Source organism: Homo sapiens, chromosome 7, assembly GCF_000001405.40.
Source record: "Homo sapiens chromosome 7, GRCh38.p14 Primary Assembly".
NCBI classification, from domain to species: domain Eukaryota; kingdom Metazoa; phylum Chordata; class Mammalia; order Primates; family Hominidae; genus Homo; species Homo sapiens.
In genome coordinates, this window is record NC_000007.14 from 13,749,877 (window position 1) to 13,774,675 (window position 24,799).

Consider the following 24,799-nt stretch of genomic DNA (forward strand, 5'->3'; position numbering starts at 1 on the left):
CCACTGGCTAAAGGAATATTCCATTGCAACTCTACCTTAGAGCCAGCACTTAAAACGATAATTTCTAAAGCCATAAAACAGATTCCCCTCCCCCACACTTTTTTGGCTTTTGAGTGTAAGGATTCACATTCTACTGGGAAAAGTAGCATGGGAGCCATTGAAATGAAAGTTTAAGCAGTAAAAATGCTATTATGGCCCATTTCATTTTTCAGCTGAATGGCTCACCTAAATAGAAAATCCATTTTTGTGGAAGCAGGCATATAATTTCTGTTAAATAGAACCCGGGAGGTCCTTTCTGACTTAACAATTATTTCGAAGTATTTTTTTCCACTTTTTGGAACCTGTAGAAATCCATTTTAAAGTGAGAATAGTTTCACCAGAACTGCCCTACTGAACAGAGTTATACTGACAGCCATAACTAAATTGATTGCACAGAACCCATCCTTTGATGCAAGGATGTTCACCAACTGCAGTCTTAAATAAGCTATTTGCAGAGGTTCTGGCTTTGACTGGAGTATAACAGAAACATTTCGTGAAATAATAGAAATTTTGAGCCTTTATGTTGTTGGTTTCCTGTCTGCCTTGAATATATGAATTCGTAACAACTACCAAAGCAATCTTTCATTTTTTTTTTCTTTTTTTCAGACCGAGTCTCGTTCTGTAGTCCAGGCTGGAGTGCAGTGGCGGGATCTCCACTCACTGCAAGCTCCACCTCCCAGGTTAAAGCCATTCTCCTGCCTCAGCCTCCTGAGTAGCTGAGACTACAGGCACTCACCACCACACCCGGCTTATTTTTTGTATTTTTAGTAGAGACGGGGTTTCACCGTGTTAGCCAGGATGGTCTCGATCTCCTGACCTCGTGATCTGCCTGCCTCGGCCTCCCAAAGTGCTGGTATTACAGGCGTGAGCCACCACGCCAGGCCACAATCTTTCATTTTTATAATAAATCATTCATGTGTAATTGGTTTTATTCTGATCATGATGCTGAAACTAAATGTTTTGGTCTTGGGTGATAATGGAAGCTTAAAGGTAATATCAACTACAAAGAGAGTTTTTAAATGTTTGGCCTGAATATTATCAGCTTAAAATTTGCACTATTCTATACCTGTTTCCCTTACATATCAATTACTACTATATCACATTTCATTGGGTAGGAATAATAAATATTTTCATTAAATTACTTTAAGAGATCATCAATTAATATACATTTTCTAATAATTATTAACATAAACACTTTAAGATGTATTTTAATGCAAACTAAAGAGATTTAGATACATTCTGAGTCACAGAATAATATCAAGAAGCATAATTTTATGTCAATCCCCACAAATCATATAGCCTTAAAGATGACTTTTTAAATTTGTGATTTTTTTTTCTTTTAGTTCTGCAGGATTTTTTTTTTGTTCTTATTGTTGTTAACAAGGAATAACATCTCTTTTCATAATTATAGCAACAAAGTTTAGTTAAACAAATTCATCAGATTTTAGTAAATGATAGCATTCTAACTCTCAAAACAGTTATACCTAAATATATTTGGTACATGTTGTAAAACTATATTTATTGTCTCAAGAGAAAATGAAATCTGGTTATTAAGATATATCAAGACTCTCCACTTTTTAAATTAAGAATAAATCAATTATTGCTGGTGGAATTTCCAAAACTAATACTTCACCCATCAGCCTAATTAGTAATTAAATATATCAATAGCATTGAAAAGAAGAGTGGCATATTAGTTAAGATGCATGAACTATATAAAGGTACAATTCTCTTTTTAAATGCACATATCCCAACAAAATTTCTTTCACAATATGGCTATAAAATCATATGGTGATTAACAACTGTAAAACTAGACAAAATTTTTTCACTGTTTTCAGAATATATTACTCCTTTTGGTAAACTGCTGTGGAAAAAAAAGTGCAGCTGTTACATACACAAAGTTATCTCCCATTGGCTATGAGAATTATCTAAATGTTGCTAGCTTTCATTTGCTCTTGTCATTTGCAAATGTGCCAAGTCGACTAGCCTTTCTATTAAAATAAAGACTACCTTAGCCAAACAAGAAATTGGACAGATTCTCAGCTTTGTCTGAAAACATGTAGAGGAAAAATACACTAATGGAAGCAGCATGATTCTTCATTATGGACCCCTCCAGGTCTTGAAAATCATCCAAGGAGCTATGTCATCAAATGTTGAAAATCTTCCAAGGATCCCTTCACACACACCCTTTTTAAGTGGTGAGTTCCAATCAAATGTTTTCTCCATTGAACATGGAGAGAGGGGTTTCTGAAATTAGGCCCATTTTCTAAATCTTGCCCAAGTTCTATCCGAGCATTGACAAAAGATCCAATATAATATTGTTGTCACTTTTTAAGGATGGAAGAACACCTCCAAGGAAGAAGCAACTTATTGCCATGATTTTCAAGGACACATCTTGCCTATTATTTGATGGTGAATTCTGTCTTTGTTTATGTGTATGTGTGTGTGTATACACACATATATACACACGTATGTATATTTATATATTTCCTTCAGCCTTGAGGAATGGGAATATTCCAAGGTCTCTTTCTGTCAAGCATCCCTTCACACTTACACAGACATCATAGACGTCACCTTTTTTACTACAAATATATTTCCAAATAGGAGCCTTCAGGATATGAAAAAATTCTGCCAACAAGGCATAACTCCCAATTTTATTGCTTTTATTTTGAAGTTGCATTTATGTTTCAAGTACTGTAATGCATTTTAAGCACCAGATAAATAATATAGTATTTATCCATATACAGCAGAATATTATGAACCATCCATTATAATGTTTATTTATATACATTCAGATAGTTTCTACTTATTCCTTACTTTTCTAAATGAAATCAATCAAATAATAAAAATTGGAATAGGAAAGGAAAATTATGAAATTATACACCATAAGTTAAAAAATTGAACTTGAGATAAAGTCGCTGGACACAAAAGAGCAGTTTGCAAGGTGTCCTGAGATCATAGCAAGAGAACCTAGGCTCTGGACAGACCCAAAAGTGCTGATGTCAATAATGTCAGAATACATATTCTCAAGGAAAGAGTAAAGCCATCAGTATTGTCTCAAAGTCACTTCCAGAACCACAGTGTGCCTCCCGTTTGGTTGCCTTTGTTTTTTGGTAACAATTTGCTCTTCAGAATCTAAAACCACGGCAGTACTTTGAATTTGCGTAAGTTGCTTTTCTGCTCCTATGTAAGAGTGTCCAGGTAACAAGTTTTGACAGAGGTTTTAGAGCATCCAGCTGAACACAGGTAAATTAATCAATTTTGCATGAGGTGACATTTGGAAGATGAAAGTATTCAAGATTGACAAGAATGAAGCAAATATAGTATCCAAGACAAAAGACTAAGCCATTGGTGGAATAAGGTTATCTTTAAGATACCTGCTAAAATTGGTGATTAAAAACTTTTTCTTTAAAATTTGGGAAGTCATGGTAAGATATCTTTTTTTCTTTAACATGGCTTAATTCATATCCTTAGTAGTATAATTAGTCATTTGGAGCTTCTATTTCACCTTTGAGGATTATTCAGAGTAAAAGCTATGGAAATTTAGAAAATTGTGACAAAAAGAAAATATGAGTCAGAATCCCACTGCCCCGGCACGACTACTTTGATATACTTGCTTTCATTCTCATGTTTTATATGGTTGTAATCATATTATGTTGCTGTCTGAATCTTTTTTTCTACTTACTATCAAAATCATTTAACATTTTGCTCATTTTTCGCAATGATACTTTTTAATTACTGCCTAATATTCTATTAAGTGAATATGCCACTGGATATTAAATGATCGCTTTTTCATATTGTTTAACATTTAGCTTTTATAAGTAACAGACTTGTCAGTAATTCAATTTCCTTCCTCATTTTTTAAAAATACAATTTTGTTTGGAAATAATTTTAAATTTATAGAAAAATGGCAAAGAGAGTAGAAAGAGCTCCCTACCCACTCCTCACCTGAACTTCAGGTACTCCTAATATTATCGTATTACATTTTCAGGGTTCACTTGTCAAAACTAAAAAAAACCAACATTGGGACATTAATATTAACATTAAACTCCATACATTATTAGAATTTCACCAGTTTCTCCAAATAATTTATTTTTAATGGTGCTGTACATTGGTAAGGAAGAAAAAGTAACTAGACCATGACTATATAAAGCTACCAGAAGACAAAAATGGCCTTTCAGGTTATTTTGATCAGTTTTTATGTTGCTTATCAAAAGATCAATAATCGCCATTACTTTTTAAGACCAGATATTTTTATTCTAAAAATCTAATAATTAGTAAAAAGAAATAGGTACTATTAAATAAACTTTAAAAGTACAGATATGTTCCTATTCAAATTCAAATTTCTAAAATGTTATCTAGGAAAAAATATTCAGCGATATGTGAATACATTTTGGTGTATGTTTATGCAGATAGGCAATCTTTATTAAACCCCAATTACTTGCTCAACCCTTTTCCAGGCACTGCAAAAGGAAAATAAAATATATCTAAAATACTTGACTCTTCTCTCAGAAGCTTAAAAATCTGAAAGACATTAAACAATACTATGCTCAAAGATATATACTAAAAAAGATGTACACAAAGTATCTTACAGAAAAAGGAAAATTTTTACCAGAATTTCTGAACTTTCTTTGGAGTTATGTTAACAATTTCTAATAATTATCAAGTTATCGAATGCTTACTGTGTGACATCAACTGCTGGGCAATTTATTTACTCTCCAAACAACTGACAACATATAGCTCTACAAAAACAGCTAATTCAGTCCCCCCAGTTCAATAAATTGCAGGCCTTGGTGCAAATTTCTGGATCAGAATGAAAACTGGTGGGCCCCAGGAAGATGCATCTCACAGAAAAATAATAATGACTATTATTTATTGAGCACTTATTCTGTCCCAGGCATGTTTTTATGTACTTCACATGTATTTACTAATATAATCCTCTTGACAATCCTATGATGCAAGATCTACCATTTGCTTCATTTAAAGTTGAAGAAACTGTATCACAGAAAGTTACGTAATTGTCCAAGGATGCTACAGTATTAAGTAGAGGAGTCGGAATTCAAACCAAGGCTGTCTGATTCTAGAGACTGGGCCCATGACTATCCCTCATGCTGGAGAGTAGAAACTGGGAGGTGGGGGAACTTAGAGGGAAGAAGCCAACAGACAAAAGGGAAATGAAATTAATTGACTAAGTTCAAGAGATCTATTGTACAACACGGTGACTACCATTAATAACAATGTGAGAAATTAATTGGCTGGAATGAAGTGGATGCCTTTGAAATGTAGGTAAGAATGATTAGATTTGAGACAATTGTATACCAAATTGTATCTAATTTTCACAATAATATAATAATCAATAGAAAATTAGAATGCTACTTTGATCATGTAAAGCCTTGGGTTTAAAATTACATGGATTCTCCTTCTGTTTCATATGTCTCCTCTTGATTTAGCCTGTTTTTTGTTTCTCTTAAAGAGATGGGGGTCCTGCTATGTTGCGCAGACTGGCCTTGAACTTCTGGCCTCAAAGAGATCCTTCCACCTCAGCCTCCAGAATAGCTGGGACTATAGGAATGCACCACTGCACCTGGCCTGGCCTGTTTTTATAGTATTAACAAACAAAAGATATACACTGTACCATTTTCACTTGTAGCCAAATAATGTAACAGCAATTACAGACAGTAATTTAACTAACCTTAGATCTAGTTTCACATGTTCATAACATCTTTCCTTTTGTTTTTAATGTGTTTTCCAGGCCATTTTGAAAATACTCACTATATCTATGTTTTAAATTCCGTCCATTTGGTCAGAATCTAAATAGTTGTTTTTGGAGCCCCCTTCCCCTTGGAACATTCTTCACCATTTAATCTTTCAGTGCCTATGCAGTGCTAGCCATTTCTGTGGCTCCACAAGGCAAGTAGTTAAACGTATGATCCTATCACTTGCCCAGGTTTACCCAGAGCAGTTTGCCACTTGACAATTCTCATGATATAAAAAACAAAGGAAGCTTTAAAGCACCAGGCTCCACTATCAAGGCACTCTGTTTTCTTTTTGTTTTTAATTTAAATTTCGATTTTCTGATCTGGCTGTTTAGGTTTGCAATAGTAATCAGGTATTTGTCAAAGTTTTTTTTAGTATTATGCTAATTTCAAATAATTTTTAGTTATGTTCAATGTTTTTCCTATTATTTTTATTAAGAAGCTGAAAGGGGATGTTTTTAATAGTATCTAATGTTTAAATAGCCCAAATTTTATTTTCTTGTCTCTGCAATGTTCAGAAAAGTAGAACACATCATTATGCATGCAATGTAATCATCATCAGTATCACTGAAGCTCACATTTACTGAGCAGGTAAAATATGTTTTACAGATACTAATTCAATCCTCACAATAACCCTTTCAGGCAACTACTATTTTCATCGCATTTTTCAGATTAAGCTATAAACTGAGGTACTGAGGTAAAGTGCCAAAAATTACACATCTATTACCTTATAGAGCCAGACTTTAACGCAAGCATTTTGATTCCACAGCCCAATAGTTAAATGTATCACAATCATTTTACTCAATGTGTAATAGAAGGAAGTTCCTTGACTAATATATTGATTATTGAAACAATTTACAAAAGTATACAAACAGTAAACATTATGCACACATTTAGAGAGAGAGTGGGAGAGTTCAAACTTTTCCGAAAGTCACAGATGTTGAAACTTGACTTGATTCATAGCCAACGTTATATTTTTTCAATTGCCCGGTTGTTTGTCTAACCTAGCATCCCTGTAAAGCCACTGTCATAGGAACCACTGTGAAAGGTGTTATCCAAACGCATCAATGGGTTTATAATGCTCTCAGTGTTTACTTAAAAATGATAAACAAATTTGATTCCATAAGTACGATCTCATCTGTTAATATTTCACTTTTAGTGGTCTTTATAGGGGCACATTTATTGCTTGAGTATTTGTGAAATAATATATTGCATGTAAGTTAAAGTGTCGTCTACTGTGCATATTGCTTCAAAGACATCAAATGCTGCTTGTGTGTATGTGAAACACATCTGGGATTTATTGATAGTTTATTTTTTTTTTCAGGTAACTGTCATCCTATATGCTGTTCTACTTATTTTTATTGATAGATTCTGAGGTTAAAATAAAATAAAATCTGTTTACTATTTAGAACATGGTTCAATGAATGAATATATTATTCTGTTGTATTTTAATGTAATCAGCCAAAAACTACAAGTCAAAAAGTGTTTGCTCGTGGGGTATTGTTTTGCTTCTAAATTTCCCAGTAATCTAGATACAGGCAATAGGCAGCTGTAATAAAAATTAATAGTAAAAGATAGTTTTCAGAGTTGAACTAACTAGGACACTGTATTTGGGTTGACTTTCACACCAGGTCCCTGGAGGCGGGACTTCCACAGAATAGATGATCTACAATAAAAGTCTTTAGAGTATTCTTGCTAGTGACAGTACAAGGAGATGCTTTAATAAACCCTTGAAATCAAATTTTTTTGGCTTGGACAATAAGCAGTTGTAAAAAACTGGGCAAATCATTGAGTATTTTAAAACCTTCATGATTCTTTTAAATCTTAGTTTCTTATTTATATAATGGTAATAAAACTGAAAGGCAGGTGTAAAGATGTAATGAAATCATACATGTGAAATGCCTAGCCAAATGTTATTTCCTGGAAATTAGGAAATATTCCACATCCTGGAAATTCCCAAATGTTCAATATCCTGCAAATTAAGAGTTGGGGTATTAAAATAAAGATCACAATATTAGCTGCCGTTGCTTGAGCTTAAATTATTGCTCTGTTCTTTCTTAGCTGTGTGACCTCAGGATTTTATAGCCCTCAGAAGAGTGTTCAATAAGATCAACACCCAACAATGTCACTACTTCTCTGCATTTTACTCATTACCAACAAACCCATCCCAACATCTCCTGTCCTTCTCCCTGTCCTCTCGCCAGTTTTTTCTTCTTCTCCCTTTCCAGAACAGCAACAAAAAGATACAAACTAAAACACAGAAAATTGCCCTATTCCCCCAAACACAGTCCAACCCTGGCACTTGTGCCTTATCAACAAAAGTTGTGCAATTGTAATCTCCTGTAATTCATTCTCTTCTGGCCAGATGTTTTATTTGGTGTCACCACTGGACAGATCAAGTAAAAACAATACTTACAATCCAGGCTGATGGCCTAGGAAACAAACATCACATGACTTACAATTAGAGAGTTTAACAATTGGAAAACTGATGCCAACTTGTAAAGAAATGCATACCTACTGAATACTACTTGACAATACATTCTTTAAAACAAATCTTTCCAAATCTGTCCACTTCAGCTTCAGCTTTTATTTTTCAAAGCACAATATTCTTACACATAACCTTGAAAAAGAAAAGATGGGCCACAGTATCTGCTTACTTAAGAGAAGTTAAATGGTGCATGTAACATCTCCGTTACACAGTATACAACAGTGACTGACTTTAGCCTTTAAATTACATTTATCATTTGTTTTGACTGCAAAGTGATCTATACTTATTTACGGTGGTTTACAGCAGATTACGCCCTTCAGTTTTTAACTAACACCAAAAAATAAAGACATTGCAGTAAAACAAAGAACGCCTCCATTAGCCAAATACCAAAGAGAGAGTTAGCCTACAACTTCTAGCATTACAAACATTTACAGAGAACATAACGCTAAAAGGTGACTGCTGGATTTTTCCATTACTTGCTCTCTTTCTTTCTTCATACTTATTGGAAAAAGTGTAAGCTTTGATTCAGCTTGTGTAAGTACAAATCCCAGCTCCGTTGCTTAATAATTTTGTGGCCGTTGGCTAAATAACCTGTCTATGCCTCAGATTCCTTATCTATAAAACGGAAATAGCAATTATAGTAACTTTCTGAGAAAACTGTGTAGAGGATTAAATGAGACAATACATGTAAAGTTTTTAAACAATAATTGAGATACAGTAAGTGCTCAATAGATGTTAGTTATTAACACCTTAAATAATAGTTCTTTTAAAAAATGTGTGCTGTCTATTCAACACGGAAACTTACCTACCTTGCAAGGGCAAGAGAAGAGCAATGAATTTAACCACCAGGAAACGTCAACAATGTAATTCTTGGTACTCTTCACCAAAAGTTCAATTAGTTCTCTATTCTAAAGTCATAACGGAGTGGCAGGAGTCAAATGAATAACTCAGAAAGATCCCTCTGGTGGTATTTGAACAACAATATGAAATAAATCTCATAAATAAATATAAAATTATGTCAACAATAAAAAAGAAAGATGATGAGCATCTAAATGCAGACAGCAGCCTTAATTATGGAAAGAATGGGAGAAATATGAGAAGAATAAAAGGGACAGACTACACAAGTATATCACTAATATAACATGGGTGGTACCAAATAAATTCAATTATATTGTTATTTTTAAAGCTTTCCAGAGCAGGAACCCATCTTATTTGCTCTAGTGCATTAATTCATACAATAATAATTATTAGTCCAAAATGTATCTCAATTCACACTTTTTGAAGACTTATCATATGTTGCATTACAGAGGGTGCAAAGGATGCTTACAGCTGGTAAAATATGATTAGCTTTATTAGTATATCAGGCTAAACTACCCATAAGTTAATCAATATATTTATGCTAATTGCTAATTTTCATGTCTTGCAACAAAGGTGCAAATTGTGGCATCATCTGACCTTCAAGGCACACATAATACCAGTGATGCTTTTTTTTTTCTTACTAAGTTGTGTAACTGCTAAAATTAATTGTACCCCAGGGCTATTATATTATTCATGAATTGTCACCCAAATGAATGACAATGTTTGAGAGGGAGTGGAAGAATAGGGATTTAGATGTGTTCTCAGTGAATGCTGCCAGCTACATGACAACTGACATAATACCCAATTACAAGATCACTAATTAAAGCTATCAAACCAAGCCTGTGCAATTTTTGCCCATCACTAGGATTTTCAACTTTAGCTTCTGAATTTTCCTTCAACAATTAGAAAAAAATCCTTTTCTAAGTGGTTTTTCCCAATACTCTGAAACTAGGATTTATCATTTGATGAGTCAGAAAATATTGTAATTTTGCTATGCCCAATTCTAACATGTAACGACATAGCAACAATATGCTTTGATTTTATTTTTCCTGTTTCAGAACTCAAAAAGAGCTAAGAAAGTCAGATACATGTTTCCTCTTTTAAGACTGAAGCAATGAAAGTGAAATCTCTAAAGTCTGATTTCATGAGGAATGCAAGGACATATTATGGAGGAAAGAGCCTTACCAGTATACTACTTATTATCTTCTTTATTGGAAAAAAAATTAGTTAAAAGTATAGCTTTGTATCTATTTTGTTCAGAAACTAGATAAACATGATGGCTCAAGTTTTTCCGTATGCAAAGTAGAGTCAACTTTTATTCCACAAGATAATATTCAGTGAATATCTTAATCATTTGGATGAAAATTTTAGAAATGTGTATAAAAATATATATACATATACAGCATCATATATATTTACTTTAGTACATATATAGATATACATATTATATATTGTGTGTATATGTATATATTTGTGTGTGTGTGTGTGTGTAAGGTTTTCACCAAAGAGACCTACAAATTTGTTGAATATTATCTTTGGTTAAAAAAAAATTAGAAAAATTAAATTTAACAGAGATTCACTGAGCAAAAAACAATTTGAAAATGGGGCAGCCCACGGAACCAGAATAGGCTCAAAGTGACTCCAGGGTTGCCACATGATTGGATGACATTTACAGACGGAAAAAGGAAAGTAACATACACAAAGTGGGAGCAATGTACAGAAACATCTGGATTGGCTACATCTGGGTGTTTGCCTTAGTTGAGCCTGGTTTATACAGTTGGCTGCCTGTAGTTGACTGAAGTTCAGCTGCTGTGATTGGCTGAGGCTCAGCTACTTGTGACAAGAGTAGGTTGCAATCTGTTTACACATCAAGTTGGGTTACAGTTTATTGTGTATTGAAAAACCTTTTGGCCAAGCGTAATTTAACAATTTCCCATTTTGTCAACTTCTTAATTGAAAAAGATTAAAGAAAACCTTAGGCATTGATGTCACCATTGTAAATGGACTTATTTAGTCTCAAATCGCTTTGGAGAATGGCAGAACAATGGGTTTCGTAGGTGGGAACAAGGAAACCGAACAGCAGGAAAAAACGCTGGGGAGCATCAGGTCTCTTCAGATTTCTTTTTTGTAAGAGAGCAGAGGAGGCTTCCTTACTATCCTAAAATCTGTTTGAGAGAGGAAAACAAAAATGGGCCTGTTTTGAGATTTATTTCCTTAAAGTTTTATTTTATGATGTGGCACTTAGCGTGAGTGACTTCATTTTCATTTGGTCTAGTCTGTTGGGGCCTAGTGCAGCAGCTCAGTCCAAAATAATGACCTCCAATAATTTTGTTTAAAAATTTCTCCCTTTTGATCAGGATCTCATCTAGGTGAGAGTGATCAAAACTTAGGGCATTAGCACTAGTCTCAGTTACCATCATTTTAGCTTGCCAGTCTCACTATGTCATTCATAGGTTATGGTCTCCTCATGAACGCACATTTCTTTAACTTTTTATCTTCCAATCAAAGAATGTCTATTTAACATTCTACAGATGGCTGCATGCAAACATTTAAAACTTTTGAGAGAATACAGTGCACCAGAGAGACTATTATTATAACTATCAGAAGGACAATACCAAATATGCTGCTTAGCCAGGCTCCCCATAAACCAAACCAACTAAAATGAAATAGATGAAAGAATGTGCCAGATGAAAAGTCTACCCATTTTAACCAAGCAGCCTGTTTGTTAATCCCTTGCAACCAGGTCTCTAATACCTGATGTATTCCTCCATGTGTAACAAGAAGTCTGAGCAATTGCAGATTCTTTCCTGTTCAGCTAACAGGTAATTTAGAGCAATTCTATTATTTAGTACAACTTTAACAAGAGAATGTAAAGAAGTCTGCTCTGCAATTATAGCCTTTGCAGTAGAATCTGCTATAGAACCTATTATGAAGGATACATCTCTAATTATTGCCTCACTTATTATATATTTACTCCAAGCCATGGAAAAGGAGGCCTGACAAATGATGCCTATCCGGAAGGGTGAAGACCTCCTGACAATGTTCTCTTTAATGTATGATGTAAGATAAGAGGAGTGGACCAGTACTCTGTTTCTACTGATTTGGAGCAGCAGAGATGAATTTGAAACCCACATTGACCCTTCATCTTCAATCCAACAAGACATAACGTTGCCCATGGATTAGATAGGCTGTGAAATCCTCCATAAATAAAAGTATAACCCTTGAGTGGACACAAAGACCTATTGCTCACATATACGTTATAACAGCTTCTGGCCAAGAGTCTGAGACAGAATTATTACAGGTTAAAATAACATTGTGGTATCATGGCATATAGCTAATTTGCAAAAAAAAAACTCCATTTAAGTAAGTCTGTTTTGTGATATACTCATTGGTCCTGGCTCTGCATACCATTAAAACAGAGAATGCCAACAAGTTGGTTGAGAAATCTTACCACTGGTACAATTCAAACAACAGTTACATTAAGGATGTTACTAAAGTAACCCACAAAGTAAATTACAGGATCCCTTAAGTCATATAAAGACCTGGGTTTGATATGACATATTCAACACTCTGTCAAGTTACTCACAGATATTACTGATTGTGAAATTTTAATTACAGCATTCTTCTGCTGCTTTGGTTTTGATGTTTGTCTCCCTTCAAATCTCATATTGAAATTTAATCCCCAACTTTAGAGGTGCGCTTAATGGGAGGCGTTTGGGTCATAGGAGTGGATCCCTCATGAATAGATTAATGTCCTCTTGGAGGGTGTGAGAGGGAGAAATGTGATTGAGTTCTTGCTCTATTGTTCTCATGAGTTCTGGTTGTTAAAAACAAAAAGAAAACTAAAGAAAAAAAAAAAAAAGCCTGGCATCTCCCCTCTACCTCTCTCCAGCAACCCCTCTTGCCATGTGATCCCTGCAGATGCTCTACTTCACTTCCTACCATGAATGGAAGCAGCTTGAGGCCTTCACCAGGAACAGATGCTGCTGTCAAGCTTTCTCTCCAGCCTACAGAACTGTGAATCAAATAAACCCTTTTTGTTTATAAATTACTCAGTCTTGGGTATTTTTTATAGCAACACAAAATGGACCAAGACAGAAAATTGATACCTGTAGTGGGGTATTTAAATAAAGATACCTGAAAATGTGGAAGCAGCTTTAGAACTGGGTAATGGGCAGAGGTTGGAAGAGCTCGGAGGGCTCAGAAGAAAAGAGAAAGTTTGGCACTTCTTAGAGATTGGGTAAGTGGTTGTGACCAAAGTGGTGATAGAAATATAGATGGTAAAGAGAATGCTGAGAAGATCTCAGATAGAAATGAGAAAACGGGAACTGGAGCAAAGGTCAACCTCTTATGCCATCACAAAGAACTTGACTGCATTGTGTCCATGCTCTAGACCTTGTGGAAGGCTGTGATGACCCAGGGTGTCTGGCAGATGACATTTCTAAGCAGCAAAGTGTTCAAGAAGTGGTGTGGCTGCTTTTTACAGCTTCCAGTTAGATATGGTAGCAAAGAAATGTGTTAAAGGTGAAATTTACAATTAAAAGCAAAGCAGAGCGAAAAAAATTTTGGAAAATTTGCAGCCTGGCCATGTGGTAAAGAAGAAAATGTCATCTTCAAGAGAAGCATCCAAGGGTGCTGTAGAGCAACCATTTTCTAAAGAGGTTACTGTGGATAAAAGGGAGCCAGGTGCTAATAATCAAGACGGGGGAAAAAGGCCCCAAAGGCATTTCAGAAATCTTCTGAATTCTGAAGGCCACCCCTTCTATCACAGGCCCAAAGGCCTAGGAGTACAGAAGATATTCCTGGGACAGGTCTGGGACACTACTGCCCTGTGTCACCTCAGATGCTGCTCCTGCATCCCAACAACTCTGGCTCCAGCCACAACTTGGACAGCCTCAGCTACTGCTCTGGCTGACACTCTGGAGAATGCAAGCAGTAGCCTTGGCAGCAACCATGTGGTGCAGAGTCTTCAGGTGCCCAGAATGCAAGAGCCATTCTTGCATTGGCTTGGTGGCTTAAGGGATAGATATATTGAAAAACCTGGATACACTGGAAGAAGGCTGCTGCCACATCAGAGCAACCAAAGAGAGTCCCAACTAGGGCAGTGCCTAGTAGGGTAATAGGAGCAGTACTGCCACCCTTCAGATCCCAGAATTATAGAACCACTGCCAGCATAAAACCCTAGCCTAGGAAAGCTGTAGGCACCAGGCTCCAAACCATTAGAACAGCCACATAGACTACACCCAGCAAAGGTAGGTGCAGGGCTGCCAGAAGCCTTAAAAACCTACCCCGCATACCAGTATGCCCAAGATGCAGGACGCGAAGTCAGTGAAGATTATTTTGGAGCTTTACAATTTAATGTCTGCCCTGCTAATTTCTGGACTTGTGTGGGGCCTTGTTACACCTTTCTTTTGGCTGATTTCTCTGTTTCAAGATAGAAATGTTTATTCAATGCCTGTACAACCATTATATCTTAGTAGTAAATAGCTTGCTTTCTATTTTCCAGGCTGGTAGCAGGAAGAAACTTGCATAGAGTCTCAGATAAGACTTTGGACTTAGAGTTACTTACAGAACAAGTTAAGACTTTTGGGGACTATTGGGAAAGGCTGATTGCATTTTGCAATGTGAGAAAGGCATGAGATTTAGGGGTCAAGGAGCAGAATGCTACAGTTTAGATGTTTGTCCCCTTCAAATCTCATATTGAAATTTGATCCTCAGTGTAGGAGATGGGGTCTAATAGGAAGTGTTTGGGTCATGGGGGTGGATCACTCATGAATAGATTAAGGTCCTCTTTGGAGGGGAGGGGGTGAGTAACTTCTCACTCTGTTCGTTCCTGTGAGAGCTGGTTGTTACAAAGAGCCTGGCACTTCCCCTCTTCCTCTCTTTTGCTTACTCCCTCACCATGCAATCTCTGCACATGATTCCCCTTCACCTTCTGCCATGAGTGGAAGCAGCCTGAGGCCCTCACCAGGAGCAGATGCTGGTGCCATGCTTCCTGTACAGCCTATAGAACCATGCATGAGCCAAATAAAACTTCTTTCTTTACTTATTACCAAGTATCAGGTATGTCTCTATAGCAACACTAAATGAACTAAGATACCTGCCAAGCAAAAGAGGTAGGCATAAGCAAAAAATTAAAAATTAAGAGAACTAAGAGTTTCATGATAGCAGAGAAGTCTTGATTCATGATCTTGGGACAGCTCCTCATGCCTAAGCTGCCTCTGTTTCTGGAAACTTCCCTGACTAGCTTTATCGTAAGGTCTCCAGTGAGTGTACAGTTCCAAGAGTCTGCAGAGGGCCTTTTGACTTGTGAGATGTGCACTGAAGGTTTGAGGCCCTGATATTTTGCTGCAGTGTGGATGGCAGGAGCAGTCTTTCTCTGAATATGTTTTTAGATGACCCAGTCTCTGGGTTCTAGATCATGAAGAGCTTATTTTCCTCAGTTGGTGGATCAGGAAAAGCGTTCCTTACCTTGTGAAAGCACACATTAGTATAATGTATTAAAGCCTTGTAGCATTTCGTGATTTTAGCGTTTAGGAGAGCAGGAAATACATGAGGTTCTATTATTAGAAACATGGGCCTTTCAGTGACTATGTCATAAGCGGTCAACTTACATGTTCTGGCATTCTTGGGAGGAGCCAAGACGGCCGAATAGGACCAGCTCCGGTCTACAGCTCCCAGCGTGAGCGACGCAGAAGACGGGTGATTTCTGCATTTCCATCTGAGGTACCGGGTTCATCTCACTAGGGAGTGCCAGACAGTGGGCGCAGGTCAGTGGGTGCGCTCACCGTGCGCGAGCCGAAGCAGGGCGAGGCATTGCCTCACTTGGGAAGCGCAAGGGGCCAGGGAGTTCCCTTTCCCAGTCAAAGAAAGGGGTGACGGACAGCACCTGGAGAATCGGGTCACTCCCACCCGAATACTGCGCTTTTCCGACAGGCTTAAAAAACGGCGCACCACGAGATTATATCCCGCACCTGGCTCGGAGGGTCCTACGCCCACGGAGTCTCGCTGATTGCTAGCACAGCAGTCTGACATCAAACCGCAAGGCAGCAGCGAGGCTGGGGGAGGGGCACACGCCATTGCCCAGGCTTGATTAGGTAAACAAAGCAGCTGGGAAGCTGGAACTGGGTGGAGCCCACCACAGCTCAAGGAGCCCTGCCTGCCTCTGTAGGCTCCACCTCTGGGGGCAGGGCACAGACAACCAAAAGACAGCAGTAACCTCTGCAGACTTAAATGTCCCCGTCTGAGGGCTTTGAAGAGAGCAGTGCTTCTCCCAGCACGCAGCTGGAGATCTGAGAACCGGCAGACTACCTCCTCAAGTGGCTCCCTGACCCCCGAGCAGCCTAACTGGGAGGCACCCCCCAGCAGGGGCAGACTGACACCTCACACGGCAGGGTATTCCAACAGACCTGCAGCTGAGGGTCCTGTCTGTTAGAAGGAAAACTAACAAACAGAAAGGACATCCACACCAAAAACCCATCTGTACATCACCATCATCAAAGACCAAAAGTAGATAAAACCACAAAGATGGGGAAAAAACAGAACAGAAAAACTGGAAACTCTAAAAAGCAGAGCGCCTCTCCTTCTCCAAAAGAACGCAGTTCCTCATCAGCAACGGAACAAAGCTGGATGGAGAATGACTTTGACGAGCTGAGAGAAGAAGGCTTCAGACGATCAAATTACTCTGAGCTACAGGAGGACATTCAAACCAAAGGCAAAGAAGTTGAAAACTTTGAAAAAAATTTACAAGAATGTATAACTAGAATAACCAATACAGAGAAATGCTTAAAGGAGCTGATGGAGCTGAAAACCAAGGCTCGAGAACTACGTGAAGAATGCAGAAGCCTCAGGAGCTGATGCGATCAACTGGAAGAAAGGGTATCAGTGATGGAAGATGAAATGAATGAAATGAAGCGAGAAGGGAAGTTTAGAGAAAAAAGAATAAAAAGAAATGAGCAAAGCCTCCAAGAAATATGGGACTATGTGAAAAGACCAAATCTACGTCTGATTGGTGTACCTGAAAGTGATGGGGAGAATGGAACCAAGCTGGAAAACATTCTGCAGGATCAACAAAATTGATAGACCGCTAGCAAGACTAATAAAGAAAAAAAGAGAGAAGAATCAAATAGACGCAATAATAAATGATAAAGGGGATATCACCACCGATCCCACAGAAATACAAACTACCATCAGAGAATACTACAAACACCTCTACGCAAATAAACTAGAAAATCTAGAAGAAATGGATAAATTCCTGGACACATACACTCTCCCAAGACTAAACCAGGAAGAAGTTGAATCTCTGAATAGACCAATAATGGGAGCTGAAATTGTGGCAATAATCAATAGCTTACCAACCAAAAACAGTCCAGGACCAGATGGATTCATAGCCGAATTCTACCAGAGGTACAAGGAGGAATTGGTACCATTCCTTCTGAAACTATTCCAATCAATAGAAAAAGAGGGAATCCTCCCTAACTCATTTGATGAGGCCAGCATCATTCTGATACCAAAGCCAGGCAGAGACACAACAAAAAAAGAGAATTTTAGACCCATATCCTTGATGAACATTGATGCAAAAATCCTCAATAAAATACTGGCAAAACGAATCCAGCAGCACATCAAAAAGCTTATCCACCATGATCAAGTGGGCTTCATCCCTGAGATGCAAGGCTGGTTCGATATACGCAAATCAATAAATGTAATCCAGCATATAAACAGAGCCAAAGACAAAAACCACATGATTATCTCAATAGATGCAGAAAAAGCCTTTGACAAAATTCAACAACCCTTCATGCTAAAAACTCTCAATAAATTAGGTATTGATGGGACGTATTTCAAAATAATAAGAGCTATCTATGACAAACCCACAGCCAATATCATACTGAATGGGCAAAAACTGGAAGCATTCCCTTTGAAAATTGGCACAAGACAGGGATGCCCTCTCTCACCACTCCTATTCAACATAGTGTTGGAAGTTCTGGCCAGGGCAATTAGGCAGGAGAAGGAAATAAAGGGTATTCAATTAGGAAAAGAGGAAGTCAAATTGTCCCTGTTTGCAGACGTCATGATTGTATATCTAGAAAACCCCATTGTCTCAGCCCAAAATCTCCTTAAGCTGATAAGCAACTTCAGCAAAGTCTCAGCATACAAAATCAATGTACAAAAATCACAAACATTCTTATACACCAACAACAGACAAACAGAGAGCCAAATCATGAGTGAACTCCCATTCACAATTGCTTCAAAGAGAATAAAATACCTAGGAATCCAACTTACAAGGGCTGTGAAGGACCTCTTCAAGGAGAACTACAAACCACTGCTCAAGGAAATAAAAGAGGATACAAACAAATGGAAGAACATTCCATGCTCATGGGTAGGAAGAATCAATATTGTGAAAATGGCCATACTGCCCAAGGTAATTTACAGATTCAATGCCATCCCCATCAAGCTACCAATGCCTTTCTTCACAGAATTGGAAAAAACTACTTTAAAGTTCATATGGAAGCAAAAAAGAGCCCGCATCACCAAGTCAATCCTAAGCCAAAAGAACAAAGCTGGAGGCATCACACTACCTGACTTCAAACTATACTACAAGGCTACAGTAACCAAAACAGCATGGTACTGGTACCAAAACAGAGATATAGATCAATGGAACAGAACAGAGCCCTCAGAAATAATGCCGCATATCTACAACTATCTGATCTTTGACAAACCTGAGAAAAACAAGCAATGGGGAAAGGATTCCCTATTTAATAAATGGTGCTGGGAAAACTGGCTAGCCATATGTAGAAAGCTGAAACTGGATCCCTTCCTTACACCTTATACAAAAATCAATTCAAGATGGATTAAAGACTTAAATGTTAGACCTAAAACCATAAGAACCCTAGAAGAAAACCTAGGCATTACCATTCAGGACATAGGCATGGGCAAGGACTTCATGTCTAAAACACCAAAAGCAATGGCAACAAAAGCCAAAATTGACAAATGGGATCTAATTAAACTAAAGAGCTTCTGCACAGCAAAAGAAACTACCATCAGAGTGAACAGGCAACCTACAAAATGAGAGAAAATTTTCGCAACCTGCTCATCTGACAAAGGGCTAATATCCAGAATCTACAATGAACTCAAACAAATTTACAAGAAAAAAACAAACAACCCCATCAAAAAGTGGGTGAAGAACATGAACAGACACTTCTCAAAAGAAGACATTTATGCAGCCAAAAAACACATGAAAAAATGCTCATCATCACTGGCCATCAGAGAAATGCAAATCAAAACCACAATGAGATACCATCTCACACCAGTTAGAATGGCAATCATTAAAAAGTCAGGAAACAACAGGTGCTGGAGAGGATGTGGAGAAATAGGAACACTTTTACACTGTTGGTGGGACTGTAAACTAGTTCAACCATTGTGGAAGTCAGTGTGGCGATTCCTCAGGGATCTAGAACTGGAAATACCATTTGACCCAGCCATCCCATTACTGGGTATATACCCAAAGGACTATAAATCATGCTGCTATAAAGACACATGCACACGTATGTTTATTGCGGCATTATTCACGATAGCAAAGACCTGGAACCAACCCAAATGTCCAACAATGATAGACTGGATTAAGAAAATGTGGCACATATACACCATGGAATACTATGCAGCCATAAAAAATGATGAGTTCATGTCCTTTGTAGGGACATGGATGAAATTGGAAATCATCATTCTCAGTAAACTATCGCAAGAACAAAAAACCAAACACCGCATATTCTCACTCATAGGTGGGAATTGAACAATGAGATCACATGGACACAGGAAGGGGAATATCACACTCTGGGGACTGTGGTGGGGTGGGGGGAGGGGGGAGGGATAGCATCGGGAGATATACCTAATGCTAGATGACGAGTTAGTGGGTGCAGTGCACCAGCATGGCACATGTATACATATGTAACTAACCTGCACAATGTGCACATGTACCCTAAAACTTAAAGTATAATAAAAAAAAAAAAAAAAAAAAAAAAAAAACTTACACGTTCTACTGAAAGTGGATCTTATTGTCATCAATCTGAAGTACCTTTGACCAAGACAATCTAGTTGATTCAGTTAGTGTTACCTAATGCTATTCTATCTGTAATATCTTGTTTCTTTTCCAACTTGTCCAGTAAAATAAGTACCTCTGTTGTTGGAAATTTCTCCAAGAATATCCCATGAGGGAAGCACATTTTCTAATAACAGTTTTAATTATTGTTATACCATCAGCCTTCTTTCATGGAAAAGCTTCTATCTAACCAGAAAACATGGATTGAAAATCACAATTGAAAAAAATTCCTCTATAAATGTTCAAACAGATCATTAGGCAGCAGAAATGTACCTGAACTTGTGAATGTCTTCACAAAATGAAGGGTTTGAGTAACCAAACGTTAGTCATAGTAATTTTGCCAATTTTAGAACAGTCACCACACCATATTTTTTAATGTAATTTGGATCATTTTGTCTCTTTATGATGAGTCATCATGAAGTGCATAGTTTTTAATAATGGAAGCTTTAAGTACTCAGAAGGGACCAGGTGGCTGTCCAGGCTCTCCATGAGTCCATGCTTAACACTGGATTTACACTCTCTAAAATATCAACATTGTTTCTGTAATTCAGGTTCATAGCACTGTTTATTAAATGGGTTAACACAGGTAATTTGACTTGATCACGAAGTTCACTCAAATTGCCTGTCTTAGCAATTTTAGTACTGGCTGACTTAGCATGAAAATCTGCCACAGTATTTCCTTGGTAATTAATTAGTTCTTATACTGCTTGAGTTAGCAGTTTTATGAGCCAGTCAGTCTTCCTCATTAGAGTTCTGGGAGTTCTTACTGAGTCCAGTGGTATGAACTTAAGGTTATCAGCAACCTGTGCTTGTCAGAGTCATTTCCAGTCTCTCCATGAACCTCCTTGAAGACATAACACTTTAAGATCGTAATTGTTTATAAAGAGCTTTCAGAAAAAACATCGGAATTAACAATTAACTACAGACAACAAGACTTGAAATGGTTATGGTTAAAAAGGCATTTGGCAAGGAAATTTGGTTATTTGTATGGCCCACAGTAATTTAATGTAATAAAAATAATTATGACTGATAACATATCCTGAGCTTATACAATTTTGGAACATGTATTAATAACATATCTATACAACTATAACTCAAACCAAAAAGGTTAAGTATCATTTCTTATTTGATAATACTTTCCATTTAAGTTAACATAGCATATAAATGGTTTTCATATATCTCTTTTGGATGCTCCCGGGGCCCTCTGGAACATCTCAAAGTTAGTTTGAGATCAAAAAGACTTAATTTTGATTTTAAAATTTGATTTTTGGAAGTCTACCAAATATATTAAGGGTTTAAAATACCTAACCAAAATAGGATCACATGTCACCGAAAATAATAGTCATTTAACCAAAGTGATAATTAAAACATCTTAAAAAATAAAAACTTTTACTCTTTGATAAAGAGGAGACTCGGTTTTCCAAATAATCAAAAGACCTAATAAAGTCAGAATAAGGCACAGAATATTTGTTTCTCTTTCTCTTTTATTCTCTCTCTCTCTCTCCGTTTTTGCAGTTTACTCAAAAGGTGAATAAAAATCTTTTATTATCTCTTATTAATACAACACAAAAATCTTGCTTAAAACAGAAAGCTAAATTTTATTTTCACCCTAATTTTCTTTTGATATTAAGGCTCAGTTTTTAAAACTCTTACAATGAATTTATTTATCCTTAGTTTAGCCACACAATATTTTTAACTTTTTTTCCTTTTTTAAACTTTCTATGTCCATTCAGTTTTATCTATATCATTTTTTATTTGTTTATTTTGAAGCAATGTTTAAATAATGTCTGAGATAAAATTACTTTAAAAGAAAATACACTTTTATATCTCCTTTATAACCTTTCTCACCAAAAACATATTTTTCCTTTTTTATTATATATTTTGCATAGAGAATTGTTACCCTTATTTTTAGTAGTTTTAATTGTATACATTAATTACAATTTTAACTCTTAGTAACTAATTTCCAGTGAAGAACCTAGAAAATAAGCAATTTGAACTGTTTTGTAACAGTATTTGTAGATGAAAGCTATTACATAATTTTGAGAAATATATGTTTAATCAGTGTTTTATGTTGATTAATAAACCCAAATATATTTAGCTTCTCTATATCATATAAAAAATGTTAAAATATATAAACTTAAAGTTATTCTTAATAATTAATGTTTCAGTATTTTAACTTACTTAGAAATGACTTAGATATTTAATGAGTATTACTTAATTTAACATGACTTTAAGATTTTAAATTACTGAAAAATATTTTTGAAACCATGACAAGTTCATTTATAAACTTTTATGCCATTTACACTCAGATAATTTACTCATTCCTAAGAATTATGCATGGATTGCTCATTAAACTAAGCTAGTCATTGAAGAAGCTCTGGAAATACCACCCTAAAATACGTCATTTTATCATACTATTGCTATGAATAGGTAAGCAAAGCAAGGCTTTTTTAATTCCCTGTACCTATCTAAAGACAGATTTTCCAAAGAAACTCAGTTGTCATTAATTCTCTTTCCAGGGAGATCCAGCAATGAGGAAAGATTAACTTTTATCACTGGAAAGGAGACTTTGTCATACCCAGACAGATATTGTCACAAACCGTCACCCATTTTTCTAAGGGCCCATTCATCTTTTCCAAACACCGCTTTCTACCTAAAGCCTAAATACCATCATTTGCCAAAGCCAAGGAAGGAGGGCATAGGTAAAGACCTAGTTAAAACAAGATGCCACGAAAGCAACTTAAACAAGGATAAGGCTTGTTATGTAAATTTAAATCAATGCCTTTTCCACTGTAAGAGTTTCTAGTTACTCAATCCTTCCTCTCTTCCTAATGCACAGAGATATAAACTCTTACAAATAGAGATTTTCTTTATAGAAGTAATTTTTTTTTTTACACAAGGGTTTCAAAATAGCCAGCTAAATGCCAGAAAGCTGTATAATTGTACAGAAGGGCAGTGTACGTAAGGACAGTGTACAATGCCATATAAGGACATTTTGGTCAATGATGGATTGCATGTATGATGGTGGTTCCATAATATTATAATACTATATTTTAACTGTACCTTTTCTATACATAGATGCACAAATACTCAGCATTGTATTACATCAGAACAATAGCATGCTATACAGGTTTGTAGCCAAGAAGCAATAGGCTACACTATACAGCGTAGGTGTGTAGTAAGCTATACCATCCAGGTTTGTGTAAGTACACTCTATGATGTTCACACAATGACAGGATTGTCTAATGACACATTTTTCAAAATGTATCCCTATCATTAAGCAGCACATGACTGTATTTTGATGACTGATTTAGTTCAGCAGGAGAGCTTTTTGACTTAGCTTTTATTTCTTAACTAAAATTACATAGTTCAGGGTGGAGGCCATTAACAAATAGGACCAAAAACTGTCTTCTATGCCTGGACTCAGCGTGGATACCTCTGAAAAAGAAGAAAGCCTACTTTACCTGAGAGCCACCTTCTATAAATACTTTATGCAGTTTTCTTTTCACCTTTGGGATGGGATAGTAGCTAAGCCAAACGTTAGCAGATTCTACTTTTTTTTTTAACAATTAGTCATTTAAGCTTTTTATTTGTCTTTTGAAACAGTTTTTAAAGGAGGCAATAAAAACTCTGAAATTTTTGTAGAAGTTTTTGTAGCGGTCCCTGGGTGATCCAAATTTGGGAGCCCTCATTTCTAAATTCACTTTTAAAGTACAGTGCTGTTCATTCTGAATGTTCCACTGTAATTTTAAATTATTTTCTTTAGTAAGATTATGCCATTTTTGTAAGTATTATCTGCTTCTGAGGCCTAATAACTATACACGTAAAGGTAGGCTTGGCTGGAAGGTGGAGCACTCAGTTCTTCAGAAATTACGGATCCCATTTTTATGCTGAACCTTGGCATTGGTTCTGAGATCCCCTTGATCAACACTGTCAGGGATTTTTCTCTACCTAGACTTGCAAGTGAAAAAAAACAAAGAGACTAGAACACAAAATTCCTGCAAATTTGCAAAAGCAGGAGTTCGTACCCTCTGCAGTGACTGCCATTTACTGCCTGTTTCTGCCTGGTCTGGTCAGACATCTGAGGCCTCTAACTGGATCCAATCTAGTTAGTTATTGTATCTGATCCAGTCCTGGACCCATTCCAGTTTTTGTGCCCACTTCCTAACTCAATTTAGATCCAAAATTTGCCTAAACAAACTCAGCTCAAAACACAAATCCATGAAACTTCAGAATCTGAGAAATAACTTATCCATGATCCCCAGTTGCTGCAAGTGACCAATGGACATGATGACCCTGGAAGGTGTCTCACCTGGTCAGTCAGTGCTCCTGGGGGTCCCAGGAAGCTCTACTTTGAATCCCACTTCTGATGCCATCTGTTAAATGAAAAACTGTAGACAAATTAAATTTGATAGGGCTTAATTGATCAAAAAACAATTCCAGAATGGGGTGGACCTCAGAACCAGAATAGGTTCAGAGCAACTCCAAGGCTGGTTGGATAATATTTATGGATAGGAAAAGGAAAGTGTTGTATAGAAAATGGAAGTACGGTACAGAACCAGCTCTATT

At 36.7% G+C, this 24,799-nt stretch overlaps 1 long non-coding RNA gene across 1 annotated transcript in view, besides 2 other annotated features; it reads left to right on the forward strand.

Moving 5' to 3' along the window:
• Positions 1-662, forward strand: part of LOC105375161 (uncharacterized) — a 37,849-nt gene extending 37,187 nt beyond the window's left edge. Inside the window, exon 4 of the long non-coding RNA XR_007060216.1 lies at positions 646-662. This is a non-coding gene — a long non-coding RNA (uncharacterized LOC105375161). The remainder of the gene's footprint in view (positions 1-645) is intronic.
• Positions 15,442-16,020: an enhancer, noted in NCBI's record as "NANOG-H3K27ac-H3K4me1 hESC enhancer chr7:13804943-13805521 (GRCh37/hg19 assembly coordinates)". NCBI's record gives its function as "activates a minimal SCP1, AML or CMV promoter by ChIP-STARR-seq in primed H9 embryonic stem cells {active_cell/tissue: H9 hESC(primed)}" and the evidence as "EXISTENCE:reporter gene assay evidence [ECO:0000049][PMID:30033119]".
• Positions 16,021-16,598: an enhancer, noted in NCBI's record as "NANOG-H3K27ac-H3K4me1 hESC enhancer chr7:13805522-13806099 (GRCh37/hg19 assembly coordinates)". NCBI's record gives its function as "activates a minimal SCP1, AML or CMV promoter by ChIP-STARR-seq in naive and primed H9 embryonic stem cells {active_cell/tissue: H9 hESC(naive and primed)}" and the evidence as "EXISTENCE:reporter gene assay evidence [ECO:0000049][PMID:30033119]".